This window comes from Homo sapiens, chromosome 3, assembly GCF_000001405.40.
Source record: "Homo sapiens chromosome 3, GRCh38.p14 Primary Assembly".
NCBI lineage: Eukaryota > Metazoa > Chordata > Mammalia > Primates > Hominidae > Homo > Homo sapiens.
In genome coordinates, this window is record NC_000003.12 from 33,467,428 (window position 1) to 33,485,585 (window position 18,158).

Here is an 18,158-nt window from a genome sequence, read left to right on the forward strand (position 1 = left end):
AAGAATTAGGCACACAGACACATTGAAGGGTGAGGAGGATGGAATTTATAATACAAAAGGGGAGCTCTCGGCCAGGCACGGTGGCTCAGGCCTGTAATCCTAGCACTTTGGGAGACCAAGGAAGGTGGATCAACTGATGTTGGGAGTTTGAGACCAGCCTGACCAACATGGAAAAATCCCATCTCTACTAAAAATACAAAATTAGCTGGGCGTGATGGTCCATACCTGTAATCCCAGCTATTCGGGAGGCTGAGGCAGAAGAATCCTTGAACCCGGGAGGTGGAGGTTGCGTGGAGCCAAGATCGTGCCATTGCACTCCAGCCTGGGCAACAAGAGAGAAACTCCGTCTCAAAAAAAAAGGAGGGGGGCAGCTATCAGCAAAGAGAGTGGTCCTGCCAGCAGCCTCCCACCTCACAGATTGAATACCAGGCCACCACACACGAGCTGAAGAAGCCAGGCTCCCTCCCCTGCATAAGGCGTGAATTTCTGGTGGCTCCATCCCATTCCCCCAGTTCATGTAGGCTACAGTCCATTGCGGGCATGCCCAGGCAAGACCCTGTGCATGTTCCCTTATCTGCAAAAAAACTTCTGATGTAAATACTTGGTAGGGGGGAAGGGTGGAGATTCTCCAGGGACCCTTCCTTATCTGCCTAGGCATTTGTCTGCCTCCTGCCTCTATCACTATCTGTAACAAGGCCAGAGCTCTACATTCTTTTCTGTTGATCCCAAGTTTTTAAACAAACAATATCCAGTTGCAAACCAGAAAATCTTTGAATCTACCTATGACCTGTGGGCCCCCACTCTGAGGTTTCCTGCCTATTTAGTCCAAACTAATGTATAGCCTCCATGTATTGATGTATGACTTTGCCTGTAACCTCTGTCTCCCCACCTCTAAAAACTCGTACATGTCAGCCATGAGAGGGTTCAGATCTGAAGCATGACCTGCCCCATTCTCCTTGGTAGGTGCCTTGCAATAAATGCCTCACTTTCTCTTGCTGCAAATCCCAATGTCAGTATTTGGCTTTCCTGTGCTGGGCAGGCCGACCCAAGTTTGGTTGACAACAATCTGAAGCCTCCAAATAGATCCAAGCCAGTTAATTATGAGAGCAAATCAGACCCTGGACCCAGTCTAGTTTCTACTGTGACTTCCAAATCCAGTTCAGATAAAACATTTGCTCAAAGAAACTTGGAAAGCTTAAAACACAAATCCATGGAGCTTCAGAATCTAACAGAGAACTTACCAATGATCCCAGTTGCTGCAAGAGAGTAATGGACATAATGGCCTGGTGGATTTCTCACTTGGTCACTTGATGTTCCTGAGGACTGCTATAAGTTGTACTTCAGATTCCACTTTTGATGCCATCTGTTAAAAGAAAAAGTTTAAACAAATTTTATGCAACAGAATTTAATTGAGCAAAAAACTATCTGTGAATGGGACAGCTCCCCAAAGCAGAATGGGTTCAGAGAGATTCTAGCCCTGTCACATGGTCAGAGATAATTTATGGACAGAAAATGAAAAATGACATACAGAAAACAAAAGTTAAATACAGAAACAACTAAATTAGTTACAGCTTGGCATTTGTCTAATTTAAGCAGTTGGCTGCCTGTGATTGGCCAAAACTCATTGGTTAGTACAAGAGCAAGTTATAGTCTGTTTATACACCCAGTTAGGTTACAGTTTACCATATACAAAAGAATGTTTAGGCCAAATTTATAGAGACAACTTTAGACTTAATTTAACAATAGGAAATATTTGAATTATTTTATTTTATTTTATTTTATTTTACTTATTTTTGAGACAGAGTGTTGCTCAGTTGCCCAGGCTGGAGTGCAGTGGCACAATCTCAGCTCACTGCAGCCTCTGCCTCCTGGGTTCAAGCGATTCTCCTGCCTCAGCCTCCTCAGTAGCTGGGATTACATGCATGCATGCACAACCATGCCTGGCTAATTTTTGTATTTTTAGTAGAGTCGGGTTTCACCATGTTGGCCAGGCTGGTCTTGAACTCCTGACCTCAGGTGATCCACCTGCCTTGGCCTCCCAGAATGCTGGGATTACAGGCCTGAGCCACCACGCTTGGCTTATTTGAAGAATTTAAAATTTTTCAGGAAATATTTGAAGTATTTAGAATTTTCCAGGGTTAAAATAAAAAAGGCTATGAAGGGAAAGGACTCTTCAAATGCTAAACACAATAAATTAGAGGGGGAAAAACTTAAAAGCCACATTAAAGCCACAATTAAACTTTTCTTTAAAACCTACCAAGAGAGAAAGCAGATTCTCTCTAAAGGAATGATGCTTAACTAACATCAGACTACTCAACTGTGACACTGAATGTTCAACAGTAAGAGAGCAATTCAAAATACTGAAGAAGGAGAATTTTTTTTCTTTTTTTTTTTTTTTGAGACAGAGACTCACTGTCACCCAGGCTAGAGTGCAATGGCGTGATCTTGGCTCGCTGCAACCTCCTCCTCCTGGGTTCAATCAATTGTCCTGCCTCAGCCTCTGGAGTAGCTGGGATTACAGGCACGCACCACCACGTCCGGCTAATTTTTGTATTTTTCGTAGAAACAAGGGTTTCGCCATGTTGGCCAGGTTGGTCTTGAACCCCTGATCTCAGGTGATTCAACCGCCTTGGCCTCCCAAAGTGCTAGGATTATAGGCATGAGCCGCTGTGTCCAACCCCGCCCCTTTTTTTTTTAAGAGACAGGGCCTTGCCTTGTCAGTCAGGCTGGAGTCCAGTAGTGCAATCATAGCTCAATGCAGCCTCAAACTCCTGGGTTCAAGTGATATTCCTGCCTCAGCCTCTCAAGTAGCTGGAACTACAGGTGTGTACCACCACGCCTGGCTAATTAGAAAAACTTTCTTTTTGTGGAGATGGGGTCTCATTATGCTGCCCAAGCTGGTCTCCAAATCCCAGGTTCAAGTGATCCTTCCTCCTTGGCGTGCCAAAATGTTGTGATTACAGGTATGAACCCCTGTGCCCAGCCAAGAAGAAGAACTTTGAACCCAAAATTTTGTGCTTCATTCCCATTTTTCTAAGGGTTAAATAAAGGCATCTTCAGGCACACAAAGCATCAAAAGGTTTACCAAGAAAGATTACCTTTGAAATAATCAGAGGAAGTCCTTCAACAATGAGATAAATCCAGGGGCCACCCTGATATGTAGAAAAGAAGGATAAATACATAAACCAGTAAATATTTCTGTTTTGTAAATAGGATGTATCTATGAATTATATCTATAACAATTTAGAAAAAAAATTCTAGTCAAGACATAAAGGGAAAGAAAAGGCCCAAAATGGGTAAACACATGCTAAGATATTCTCACTTGCAAAAATCTACATCTATTGGCATATCCAGTGTTTTGTTCTGGTTTTAAATTTATTTTTATTTATTGAGATAAAATTTGCATATCAGAAATTTGCCATTTTAATCATTTTAAAATGCATGAGTAATTGTTTTTATTTTATTTGTAATACCATGCACCTAATTCCAGAATATTTCCAACACCTGAAAAAGAACTCCCACCTCTCTCCATTTACTTGCAAACACTAATACAATTCACATGTTTATGGATTTGAATGTTCTGGATATTTCATATAAATAGAATCATGCTGTCAATCTAAATAACAGAGGCTCTCTAAAAGAAAAAGGTATTTATTTGGGAATAGAGCATTACAATGGGAATACATGTACCATAGTAAACTGTGTGTATTAATATATTCAGGGAGGTAAAAGAAGACAAAAATTTTTCAAGGTGCTGGGCACAGTGGCTCATGCCTGTAATCCCAGCACTTCGGGAGGCTGAGGCGGGCAGATCACGTGAGGTCAGGAGTTCGAGACCAGCCTGGCCAACATGGTGAAACCCCGTCTCTACTAAAAGTACAAAAATTAGCCGGGCGTGGTGGCAGATGCCTGTAATCCAAGCTACTCGGGAGGCTGAGGCAGGAGAATTGCTTGAACCCGGGAGGTGGAGGTTGCAGTGAGTCAAGATCGTGCCACTGCACTCCAGCCTGGGGGACAGGAGCCAGCCTTCGTCTCAAAAAAAAATTTTTTTTTTCAAGGAACAAAATGAAGAGGATCACATCATTGTTTTGAAATAATTATCCCTGGCTACAAAGATCAGTAACAAGGGTGACATCAGTCTGAGGCTGGACAGGCAGGTGCTGGGCAGATGTATTTTCTGAAGTATTTTTTGTGTAAGGTTGTGATGGCCTTTGTGCAAGATTGTGGTTTTTGTGCAGTCTTTTGTTATCAGGCATTTAAGCATGAGAACCCTCTCTTCATGGCCTTCCCCAAATCTATTTGTCAGGATATATATACATTTCTATTTATCTATCTATATATTTTTTTGAGATGGAGTCTCGCTCTGTCTCCCAGGCTGGAGTGCAGTGGCGCAATCTTGGCTCACTGCAACCTCCACTTCCCAGGTTCAAGCGATTCTCCTGCCTCAGCCTCCTGAGTAGTTGGGATTATAGGTGCATGCCACCACACCCGGCTGATTTTGTGTTTTCAGTAGAGATGGGGTTTCACCATGTTAGCTAGGCTGATCTCAAACTCCTGATCTCAGGTGATCCACCTGCCTTAGCCTCCCAAAGTGTTGGGATTACAGGCGTGAGCCACTGCACTCAGCCAGGATTTTTATTCTTATTTTTTTTCTGAGACAGAGTCTCGCTCTGTCGCCCAGGCTGGAGTGCAGTGGCACGATCTCAGCTCACTGCAATCTCCGCCTCCCGGATTCACGCCATCCTCCTGCCTCAGCCTCCTGAGTAGCTGGGACTACAGGTGCCCGCCACCACGCCCAGCTAATTTTTTGTGTTTTTAGTAGAGACGGGGTTTCACCGTGTTAGCCAGGATGGTCTCGATCTCCTGACCTTGTGATCTGCCCGCCTTGGCCTCCCAAAGTGCTGGGATTACAGGCGTGAGCCGCTGCGCCTGGCCTCAGCCAGGATATTTTTTAATGTTTGTGATTCCATTTTGATTCTGACAACTTTCATGTTTCCCCTATTTGATCAAGATTTTTTACCCAAAACTGTCACTGGTCAATCGTCCTTTAGATTTTGATGTCCCTTAGTGGCAAGATGAAACTGTCCTATGTATTGGCCTCATGTCATGTTGGGGAGAGGGACTGGTGACTAGGAATCAGTGTCAAAACCATTTTAGTCACGTTAGAGCAATAGGGAGGTTTGAATGGCGTGGCTCTCAGGTTCCATGAGAGTCTGGAGTCCACTATTAAGTTTAATTTTCTCTGTCTGATAGTATTTTGCTATCATTTCAAAGTGCTAGGCCAGAATTATTTTTCTAGGAGTTGTACTTCTTCAAAACTTTAACAAGTAACAGATACAAAGTTTAAAAATGGAAAATACAAAGTAAAATTAATAGTAATATGACCATTCCAGTTTGCATAATTGTTTTGAGCCATGAACCTAGGCTTAAAGACAACCAATTGAAGAAATCAAATGACCATAGAGAATTGAGTGAGACCTCTTGTAACCATGTGGCCTGTTTTCTAATTTTGTATATATTGGTCTCACCTTTTTCCAAAGGAATTTATCCAGGTACAGCATGTAGTGTTAGCAACAGCCTAGACATTTTCTTATTTAACCAATGAATACTGAAGGATTTCTTAGGTTAGTTTCTGTTAAGTTACCAGCCAGAAACTATTGGTTGTGAAACTTCAATTAAACTATTGTTATCCTGCCAAGTGAAAGGTAGCATTAAGGTGGGGAAAAGTCATATTAAGATACAGAGTCTTGGCCAGGTGCGGTGGCTCACCTGTAATCCCAGTACTTTGGGAGGCCGAGACAGGCAGATCACCTGAGATCAGGAGTTCAAGACCAGCCTGGCCAACATGGCGAAACCCCATCTCTACTAAAAAATAAAAAATACAAAAATTAGCCGGGCATGTTGGTGCATGCCTGTAATCCCAGCTACTTGGGAGGCTCACGCAAGAGAATCGTTTGAACCTGGGAGGTGGAGGTTGCAGTGAGCCAAGAGTGCGCCATTGCATTCCAGCCTGGGCGACAGAGCGAGACCCCATCTAAAAAAAAAAAAAAACAGACACAGGTCTTGCTCTGATGTCTTGGAAAAACTGGCTATAGCATGAAAACATCAACTTTTGGTTTGCAGTTTGAATATCGCTGGTCAAGACATCAGTTGGGTTGGTAAACATTTTGAGTAGCCCATACATCAAGCATGAAACTAATTCCTTAAACTTCATCTAGTTTCAGCTTACAGGGCTTTAGGAACAGAGTAGCTTTTGTTTTTAGTTGAAGAGTTGTAGCCAAGAAGAAAGTAGGAAAATTCAGGATCTAGTCCAGTCTACAGGTAGATAATCAGAACTTGAAAACAATGCATAGGGCTATAATCTAATAACAGATGTATTATAATTTTTCCTTAGAAACATAACTTTTTTACTCTACACTGGTCATATAGGGATCTCAGATTTTAAAAACCTCTAGAGGTTAGGAAGCCCAACCAAGGCAGACTTCAGATTTTACTTACAATATTAAGATTCTTGAACTTGTCAGGAAGTGACAATTTTTACTCACTGCTGCAAGGCTGGGAACTCTTGAAGTCAGGCATTTTATGCACATTCTTAAATAAGACATTTCAATCCAAGCCTTGGTAATATCACCAACATTTCCAGCTGTTTTCTGCTTCTAGAGAGACAAAAGTCCAGGCGTAGTGGCTCACGCCTATAATCCTAGCACTTTGGGAAGCCAAGGCAGGTGGATTACTTGAGCTCAGGGGCTTGAGACCAGTCTGGGCAACTTGGTGAAGCCCTGTCTCTACAAAAAAATACAAAAAAAAAAAAAAAAGCCAGGTGTGGGGGTGCACACCTGTAGTCCCCAGCTACTTGGGGGGCTGAGGTGGGAGGGCTGCTTGAACCTGGGAGGTCAAGGTTGCAGTGAGCTGAGACCATGCCACTGCACTCCAGCTTGGATGACAGAGTGAGACCCCGTCTCATTTAAAAAAAAAAAAAAAAGAGAGAGAGAATAGATTTTTATTGAACTTATTTAAACCATATTGTCGCAAATTAAAAATACTCATAAATAGGCCGGGTGCTATGGCTCATGCCTGTAATCCCAGCACTTTGGGAGGGTGAGGCAGGTGGATTGCTTGAGGTCAGGAGTTCGAGACCAGCCTGATCAACATGGTGAAACTCCGTCTCTACTAAAAATACAAAAATTAGCCAGGGGTGGAGGCAGGCACCTGCAATCCCAGCTATTTGGGAGACTGAGGCAAGAGAATCGCTTGAACCTGGGAGGTGGAGGTTGCAGTGAGCCGAGATCGCCCCACCACACTCCAGACTGGATGACAAAACAAGACTACATCTAAAAAAAAAAAAAAAAGGCAAAAAAACCACACGAATACTTTCTGAATTTTGGAGGAATCATGTACAGAGACAAAGCAAATGCTTTTACCTTTGTTCACAAAAATGTATTTTGCCAAATTAGGCCTAGAGCAGTGGCTCACACCTGTAATCCCAGCACTTTGAGAGGCCGAGGTGGACAGACTGCCTGAACCTAGGGGTTCAAAACCAGCCTGGGCATCATCACAAAACCCCATCTCTACCAAAAAAAAAAAAAAAAAAAAAAATTAGCCAGCCGTTGTGGCCTATGCCTGTAGTCCCAGGTAATCAGGAGACTGAGCTCAGAGGATGGCTTGAGTCCAGGAGATGGAAGTTGCAGTGAGCTGTGATTGTGCAACTGCACTCCAGCCTGAGTGACAGAGTGGGACCCTGTCTCAAAAAAAATCAAACCAAAACAAAACAAAAGTATATTTTACCAAATTGTTGTAAACTATAAATAGCTTATGAGAAAACAATGTCCTTAAATCTGGAAATCAAAACATTGAAGTAAAGAATCAACACTGTTTTAAATAAAAGTCATAAAACATCATTTAATCAATTACTTAACTTCATGTAATTAATTTTTTGTTTTGCTTGACCTTCATTAGCAATTTCATGAACCCATCGGTTTCTTTATTAGAGCTCTGAAAATTACGATTTATTCCACTGATCCTAAAATTACTAGCAATCTGTGTTCAAGAGTATTTGTCCATGTCTTCTTCATGAAAAACAATTTCGGACTATAGCTAATCACAAATGCTTTTAGAGAATAATTCAAATAATAACGGTGGATGACAAAAACTCAGAATATTTAAAGTTAAAAATCTGATGGAAGTTCTCAATTGATAATGAAGTCGAGTTATTTTTATTACAGGTAGCATTTTATGATAACAACCAGAATTATGACTGATAGGACCATGAGCCTTTTATAAATTTCGTATAACCTTTAGAATATTCACATTAATAATATCTATACAAATATAACTTCACAAAAGATGTAACATTATTAAAATTATGGCTGATAACATAGTAGGTTTCTATGAATTTATATAATTTAGAAACATTTATATCAATAACATACCCATACATGTAACTGAAAGATATAGTATCACTTATCATTTGACAATGCCTCTCATACAATTTACCCAATAAGCCCAATCATTTACATCTCTACAAGATGAGAGATACATTTTTTGATGCTCTCCAGGGGCCCAACTGGAAAATCTCAGAGTTAACATCATGTCAAAAAGACTTAATTTAGGATTTTGATTTGGTGGGCAGAGCCTACCAAAGATATCAAAAGGTTCAAAACACTTGATACAAACAGACTCTCAGGTTACTGTAAAATAACTGTCATTCATTTAAGCAGAATGATATCAAGAATTCTCAGAAGCAATACAGAAAGTTACATGGATGTAAATATCTTAACCCCTTCAAAGCCCAGTTCTTCTGAATAATCAAAGATCTAATAAAGACAACACAGGAATTATCTTGTTAAAACATAAAATCTTTGTTGTTGTTGTTGTTCTTAGGCCAATTACCAGAAATATATATTTTTTAATTTCTGCAGTGTGATTGCTTCTCGTTATAGGAAGCCCATTTATATAAACTGGAAGTCAAACCTAATGGAACGGGTGCTTGAAATTAATCATACACAAGAAGAACATCTCCAGGGTTGTGAGTATACACTATATAGAGAAATATAAACAAGAAAACTGATACCTTGAGTAGGGCAATACACGGCTGTTGGTAACAGCATGGGAAGTTTCTTTGTTACATGGAACAATTCAGACACAGCAAGAAGAGCCATGAGTACAGAATCAAGTTATACTGAAGAAAACATTACTTTTCTAGGCCTTTATAATAAACATTTCAGCCTCAGGCCATAACAACAGACAGAGAATCAGAAAAAAAAAAAAAGTTGCTGAAATTGATGAAAAATGAAGGAGAAAGTTATCAACCCAGCCAAGCAAAAAGATATATCTTTTATAAAGGAGAAAAGAGAAGGCAATGATGTCTTCATCATGTGCAGCGAGGTACACAAAAGTTGAACTTCTGAGACAGACATCTGAGAAGTTTCAAAAAGAAAATTTTACCTCAAGAAATGAAATTACTATTCCGAATGAAAAATAGAGCATTTCCAACCTGAAACTAAGAAAATTAAATAGATCTCAGGAAGAAATGTGGCAGAAATAGAAACTGTTTACAGTTTTTAGAAGATGGTTTTTAAAGAAACATTTTAGAAGCAAAATCAAAACCACTGGCAATATTACTAAGAACAAATAAATACTTTAAGAAAACCTTGTTGCTCTGAGGCTGGGCGGTGGCTCACGCCTGTAATCCCAGCACTTTGGGAGGCCAAGGTGGGCGGATCACGAGGTCAGGAGTTCAAGACCAGCCTGACCAACATGATGAAACCCCTGCTCTACTAAAAATACAAAAATTAGCCAGGCCTGGTGGCGCACACGTGTAATCCCAGCTACTCAGGAGGCTGAGGCAGGAGAATCGCTTGAACCAGGGAGGCAGAGGTTGCAGTGAGCCGAGATCAAGCCACTGCAACCCAGTCTGGGTGACAGAGTGAAACTCTGTCTCAAAAAAAAAAAAAAAAAAGAAGGCCGGCACGGTGACTCATGCCTGTAATCCCTGCACTTTGGGAGGCCGAGACGGGTGGATCACGAGGTCAGGAGATCGAGACCATCCTGGCTAACATGGTGAAACCCCGTCTCTACTAAAAATACATAAAATTAGCCGGGCGAGATGGTGGGCGCCTGTAGTCCCAGCTACTCGGGAGGCTGAGACAGGAGAATGGCGTGAACCCCGGGGGGGCGGAGCCTGCAGTGAGCACCGAGATCATGCCACTGCACTCCAGCGTGGGCGACAGAGCGAGACCCTGTCTCAAAAAAAAAAAAAAGAAAAAAAAAAAAAGAAAAAGAAAACCTTGTTGTTCTAACACAGGAGATGAAATTTTTAAATTTTGTATGAGTGGGTGGGGCACAGTGGCTCATGCTTGTAATCTCAGAACTTTAGGAGGCCGAGGCAAGCAGATCACGAGGTCAGGAGTTTGAGATCAGCCTGGCCAACACAGTGAAACTTTGTCTCTACTAAATAAAAAAAAAAATTAGCCAGATGTGGTGGCATGCTCCTGTAATCCCAGCTAATCTCGAGGCTGAGGCAGGAGAATCGCTAGAACCCAGGAGGCAGAGGTTGTAGTGAGCCAAGGTGGCACAACTGCACTCCAGCCTGGGCGACAGAGCGAGACTCCATTTCATAAATAAATAAATTTTGTACGAGTGTGTTTTCAATATAAAAGCTCAATCTTAGCCTGAGCAATATAGTGAGATCCTATCTCTACAAAACAATTTAAAAAAATAGCCAGACATGGCCATGCGTGGTGGCTCACGCCTGTAATCCCAGAACTTTGGGAGGCTGAGGCGGGTGGATCATGAGGTCAGGAGTTCAAAACCAGCCTGGCCAAGATGGTGAAACCCCGTCTCTACTAAAAATACAAAAAAGATTAGCTGAGTGTGGTGGTAGGTGCCTGTAATCCCAGCTAATAGGGAGGCTGAGGCAGAGAATTGCTTGACCCCGGGAGGCAGAGGTTGCAGTGAGTGGAGATTGCACCACTGCACTCCAGCCTGGGCAACAGAACAAGATTCCGTCTCAAAAAAATAAATAAATAAAAAATAAAAATAAAAAATAGCCAGGCATGCATGGTGGTATGCACTGGTAGTCCCAGCCACTCAGAAGGCTGAGGCAGGAGGACCACTGGGGCACAGCAGTTCAAGGCTGCAGTGGGCCATGATCATACCACTGCACTCCAGGCCAGATGACAGAGTGAGACACTGTCTCTTAAAAAAAAAAAATTAATATTAAAAAATCTCAATATTTACGACCCAGAGCATTCTACCGATTCAATGCAATCCCTATCAAAATATCAATTACATTCTTCACAGAAATAGAAAAAAATATTAAAATTTGTATGGGGCCGGGCATGGTGGCTCACACCTGTAATCCTAGTATTTTGGGGGGCCAAGGCAGGCAGACCACAAAGTCAGGAGATCAAGACCATCCTGGCCAACATGGTGAAACCCTGTCTCTACTAAAAATACAAAACTTAGCTGCACGTGGTGGTGTGTGCCTGTAATCCCAGCTACTCGGGAGGCTGAGGCAGGACAATCGCTTGAACCAGGGGGTCGGAGGTTGCAGTGAGCCGAGATCACGCCACTGCACTCCAGCCTGGTGACAGAGCAAGACTCTGTCTCAAAAACAAAAAAGAAAAAATAGACACATAGGTCAATAGTACAGAACAGAGATCCCAGAAATTGATCCATGTATCTAGAGCCAACTCATTTTTTACAAAGGCATCAAGAATACTCACTGGGGGAAGGAGAGTATCTTCAATAAGCAGCTCTGGAAAACTGGATATCCATATGCAAAAGAATGAAATTAGACCCCCCCCCACCTCTCATTCTATACAAAAATCACAACTCAAAATGGTTTCTGTTCATTCTTCCCCTTTCTAGTAGTCCCCAGTGTCTATCGTTCTTATATTTATGTCTATGTGTACTCAATGTTTAGCTCCCGCCTTTTTTTTTTTTTTTTTTTTTTGAGACAGAGTCTCACTCTGTCACCCAGGCTGGAGTGCAACCTCTGCCTCCCAGGTTCAAGCAATTCTCCTGCCTCAACCTCATGAGAAGCTGGGACTACAGGCATGCACCACCACACCCAGCTAATTTTTTGAGGGGTATGTTTAGTAGAGACGGGGTTTCACCATGTTGGCCAGGCTGGTCTCAAACTCCTGGCCTCAAGTGATCTGCCTGTCTTGGTCTTCCAAGGTGCTGGGATTACAGGCATGAGCCACCATGCCCCGACCCTTAGCTCCCACTTATAAGAGAGAACATGTGGTATTTGGTTTGTTCCTGTGTTAGTTAGCTTAGGATAATGGTCTCCAGCTCTGTCCATGTTGCTGCAAAGGACATGATTTCATTCTTTTTTATGGCTGTGTTGTATCCCATGGTATATATGTACCAAATTTTCTTTATTCAATCCACTTTTGAAAGGCACCTAGGTTAATTCCATGCCTTTGCTATTGTGAATAGCGCTGTAATGAACATACGACTGTGTGTGTCTTTTTAGCAGAACAATTTGTTTTCCTTTGGGTATATACCCAGTAAAGAGATTGCTGGGTTGAATAATGATAGTTCTATTTTTAGTTCTTTGCAAAACCTCCATACTGCTTTCCACAGTGGCTGAACTAATTTACATTCCCATCAACAGTGTATATGCATTCCCAGAGAACCCTTACATACCACTGGTGGGACTGTAAACTAGAACAGCCACTATGGAGAACAGTATGAAGATTCCTTAAGAAAATACAAATACAACTACCATATGATCTAGCAGTCCCACTACTTGGCACTCATCCAAAGGAAACGAAATCAGTATATACTGAAGAGACATCTGCACTTCCATGTTTAGTGCAGCAGCATTCACAATAGCCAAGATATGGAATCAACCTATGTGTTCAACAACAGATGAACGGATAAATAAAATGTGGTATATATACATAATGGAACACTCTTCAGCCATCAAAATAATGAAATCCTGTCATTTGCAACAACATGGACAGAACTGGAGGACATTGTGTTAAGTGAAAAAAGCCAGGAACAGAAAGTTAAACAGTGCATGTTCTTACTCACATGTGGAAGCTAAAAACATAAAAACACTTGATCTCATAGAAGTAAAAGGTAGAAGAGAGGATACTAGAGGCTGGGAAGAGTAGGGGAAATTGGGGGGGTAGGGGGATAGGGAAAGATCTGTTAAAAAATATAAAATTATATCTAGATAGGAGGAATATGTTCTAGTGTTCTATACCACTCTAGGATGACTGTACTTATCAATGTATAGTTTCAAATTGCTAGAAGGAGGATATTGAAGTTTCCTAATGTAAAGAAATGATAAATGTTTGAAATGGTAGATATGCTACTTACAGTGATCAGGTCATTATACATTATATGTATTTAAACATCACTATGTACCTCATAAATATATACAATTATTACATGTCTTTTTGTTTTTTCTCGACAGGGTCTGGCTCTCTCACCCAGGCTGGAGTGCAGTGGTACAATCACAGCTCACTGCAGCTTTGATTTTGCAGGCTTAAGCGATGTTCCCACCTCAGCCTCCTGAGTAGTGGGACTGCAGGTGTGTCCCACTCTGCCTGACTAATTTTTTCTATTTTTATTTTAGAGACCTCCCAAAGTGCTGGGATTACAGGCATAAGCCACCATGCCCAGACTACTATATGTCAGTTTAAAAAATAAAATAAACTTACAAAGTTCAATCTTTAGAAAGACTTATAAATAATCCCCTTCTAATTATAGCCAACTTGATCATACACAAAATTCCTTTGATGATGTATTCTCTTTTCGTAACATTTATCATGACTTAGACGTTGATGACATGCTTGGACTTTCTGCTTTTTCATTTTGGCCTCTATGTGGCAGAAAAAAAATTATGTTGGAGAGATACCCTATATCATTACTCTGAGCTCAAGATTTTGACCTGTTTGATCTGAGAGCCTAACTGTTATAAACATTGTTGTAGTTCTTTTTCTTTTAGATAACTAATTTTTCAATTAAGTGTTCCATCACCATATACAGTTATTAGTCAGGCAAACCTAAAAGGTGTCTAGGTTATTGGTTACCATGGAGCTATTGTAACTTGTAAAGCCATTAACTTAAAAGTCCTTAAAACTTTTCTATTTTAAATCTTGGCTGGAATGGCATATGCAATGAGTTTTATCTCAACACAGTAGAAAAGTCAGCTGACTTAAAGTAGGCAGAAAAAAATAGACAAAGAATTTAGAACACTCTACATGTTAATGTATAGTTGCAGATTTTTCAAATAATGACCATTTGAGCTCTGAATTTTTTTTGATGTAATTTTGCCCATCAGTTTATAAATGTGCATAAGTTCCAGGCATGATGGCTCATGCAAGTAATCCCAGCACTTTAGGAGGCCAAAGCAGGCGGATCACTTGAGGACAGGAGTTTAAGACCAGTCTTGTCAACATGATGAAACCCTGTGTCTACTAAAAATACAAAAATTAGCTGGGCATGGTGGTGCATGCCTGTAATTCCAGCTACTCGGGAGGCTAAAGCAGGAGAATCACTTGAACCCAGGAGGCGAAGGTTGCAGTGAGCTGAGATTGCGCCATTGCACTCCAGTCTGGGTGACAAGAGCCAAACGCTGTCTCAAAAAAAAAAAAAAAAAAAATATATATATATATATATATATATAGATATATATTTAAAAATGAAAATGTGCATAAGAACAGGCCATAATATGTAGCTGGCTGGAGTCCCAGAAGATCTGGCATACTTTAATGTTTGAGAATCCCATTTTATTTCTTAATAATCTCTTGAGAGCAATGAAAATCTTATAAATCTTGCCAGGGAATGTCAGGAGTTTAAACTGGTGTTTTAGATGGTGGCAACTGCACTAGTGGCTTTTAATTATCCATCCTGCGCCTGCCATTTAGAATGTTTATTTTTGCTCTTGGGCAATTTTCAGAAATAAGCAAGGGAAAAGAGCCAAACCAAATAACAAAAATCAGATAAGAGTAATCACAAAAATTTTAAGCACAGGCATGCAGATCAAACAAAATATTAAACTAGGTGCACAGACCAAACAGAAAGTAAATTCACCAGAAAAGACATGCCTCACAAATGGAATGTGAATTCTGTAGAAATCACTGTTCTCAGTCCAGAAAGACATAGGTCTTTACACCAGAAAGGACTTATTAGAAAAGCTAAAAGGCCTTGTATCATCCCAGGAGGTAGGCACAGTCCTTTATTTAGATGGCTTAATCCAAATCAGATCCCAAATAATATCAAAAAGCCTCTACCAAAAAAGAGAAAGGCTCAGCCTGAGAGAAAACTCACCAGGGAATAAAAGGTGAACCGTGTAACACATGCCAGTTCCAAATATCACTGATTCTTTCCAAGAATGATCTTTTTCAGGTCCCTTTTCAGACACCATATATTTCAACCTAAATTCCAAACAGAGAGGCTCTCTAAAAGAAAGGGTATTTATTTTGGGAATAGAGCATTGCAATGAAAATACACATGCCATAGTAAACTATGTGCATATTTAGGGAGGTAAGGGAAGGAAGATAAAGGCTTTTTTTCTTTCTTTTTTTTCGAGACAGAGTCTCACTCTGTTGCCCAGGCTGGAGTGCAGTGGTGTGATCTTGGCTTCCTGCAACCTCCACCTCCTGGGTTCAATGATTCTCCTGCCTCAACCTCCCGAGTAGCTGGGATTACAGGCACCTGCTCCCACGGCTGGCTATTTTTATATTATTTTTGTTTTTTGTATTTTTAGTAGAGACGGGGTTTCACCATATTGGCTAGGCTGGTCTCGAACTCCTAACCTCAGGTGATCCACCTGCCTCAGCCTCCCAAAGTGCTGGGATTATAGGCACTGGCCACCATACCTGGCTGACAAAGAATCTTAAAGGAAGAAAATGAGGATTACATAATTGTTTTGAAATAGTTATTCTTGGCTACAAAGATAAACAATAAGGCAGTTGCTGGGCAAATATCCTTGCTGAAGTATTTTTTGTATAAGGTCGCAATGGCCTTTGTGCAAGGCAGTGGTTTTTGCAGTCTTTTCGATAGCTTTCATTATCAGGCATACAAACCTTCTCTTCATAGCCTTTCCCAGTTCTATTTGTCGGGGTGTTTTTTAATATTAGTGACTTCATTTTTATTCTGAAAACTTTCACAGTATAATATATGGCCTTTTGAGTTTGGCTTATTATATTTTCTTTCATTTATGCTTTCAAAATTTATACATGTTGTACCATGTATCAGTACTTCATGCCTTTTTTTTATTATACTTTAAGTTCTAGGGTACATGTGCACAATGTGCAGGTTTGATACATAGGTATACATGTGCCATGTTGGTTTGCTGCACCCATCAACTCATCATTTACATTAGGTATTTCTCCTAATGCTATCCCTTCCCCAGCCCCCCACCCCCTGACAGGCCCCGGTATGTGATGTTCCCTGCCCTGTGTCCAAGTGTTCTCATTGTTCAATTCCCACCTATGAGTGAGAACATGCGGTGTTTGATTTTCTGTCCTTGTGATAGTTTGCTGAGAATGATGGTTTCCAGCTTCATCCATGTCCCTGCAAAGGACATGAACTCATCCTTTATTATGGCTGCCTTCATCCCTTTTTATGGCTGAAAAATTATTCCATTGTATGGATATACAATATTCTGTTTAATTCATTCATCAGTTGATGTATTTGGGTTGTTTTCACTTTTTCACCTTTTGGCTATTAAGAATAATACTTACTAGCTGTGACTAGGGAGGGTTAAAAAAAAGAATAATGCTGCTAGGACTATGTATGTAGAAGTTTTTGTGTAAACATGTTTTCCATTCTCTTCCATATATACCTAGGAGCAGAATTACTGCATCATATGGGAACTCTATGCTTAACCTTTTTTTTGAGACAGAGTCTCGCTCTGTTGCCTCCTCGCTCTGTCGCTCAGGCTGGAGTGCAGTGGCACAATCTTGGCTCACTGCAACCTCTACTTCCCAGGTTCAAGCGATTCTCCTGCCTCAGCCTCCCAAGTAGCTGGGATTAGAGGTGCGTGCCACCACGCTCGGCTAATTTTTTATATTTTTAGTAGAGACAGGGTTTCACCATGTTAGCCAGGATGGTCTCCATCTCCTGACCTCATGATCCGCCGGCCTTGGCCTCCCAAAGTGCTGGGATCACAGGCGTGAGCCACCACACCCAGCCTGCTTAACCTTTTAAGAAACTGCCAGACTGTTTATCCAAGCTCAAGCCAGTGTTTGAACCCAGACAGTCTCACTCTATAGCCCTATGTTATACTTCCTCCATTGAAATGCTAATAAAAGCCATCCCACTTTAAAAAAAGGCATGAGCCACTGCGCCGGCACACAGTTCGTTTTAATGGGCTAAGTCAAGATGTTGGAGGGGCTGCCTTCCTTCTGGAGGCTCTAGGGGAGAATCGACTGCCTTGCCTTTTTCAGCTTCCAGAAGCGGCCTCCATGTCTGCATTATCACAATCTCTACTTCTGCCATCTCATGTTCTTCTCTGACTCTCCTGTCTGCCTCTTTTCACTTGTAAGGATCCCTGTAATTACTCTCTTGCCTGTCTCTTTCACTTGTAAGGATAATCCAGGATAATCTCTCCTTCTCAAGGTCCTTAATTCGATTGCATCTGCAAAGTTTCTTTTGCTATATAAGGTAACATATTCATAGGTTCTATGCATTAGGATATGGACGTTGTTGGGGAGCTATTATTTTGCCTGTCACACTCCACTACCTTCACGTCTTTGCTCAATATCCCTTTCAGTAGGGTCTTCACTGACCAGCCTTCATAAGATCGCATTATGTCTCTGCCTTTAAAAAATCCCCCTTCCTGAGCCGGGTGCGGTGGCTCACGCCTGTAATCCCAGCACTTTGGGAGGCTGAGGTGGCTGGATCACCTGAGGTCAGGAGTTTGAGACCAGCCTGGCCAACATGGTGAAACCCCATCTCTACTAAAAAATACAAAAAATTAGCTGGGCATGGTGGTGGGTGCCTGTAATCCCAGCTACTCAGGAGGCTGAGGCAGGAGAGTTGCTTGAACCCAGGAGGTGGAGGTCGCAATGAGCCGAGATGGCGCCATTGCACTCCAGCCTAGGCGACAAGAGCAAAACTCCATCTCAAAAAAAAAAAAAAAAAAAAAAAATCCCCCTTCCCCGTTTTTTTAGTGCTCACTACTATCT

General features: G+C 41.3%; 1 annotated feature.

The window, feature by feature from the left end:
* Positions 1-1,200: an enhancer, noted in NCBI's record as "MED14-independent group 3 enhancer chr3:33508920-33510119 (GRCh37/hg19 assembly coordinates)". NCBI's record gives its function as "activates an origin of replication core promoter dependent on BRD2, BRD4, P300/CBP and CDK7 cofactors, and independent of MED14, by STARR-seq in HCT116 cells {active_cell/tissue: HCT116}" and the evidence as "EXISTENCE:reporter gene assay evidence [ECO:0000049][PMID:35650434]".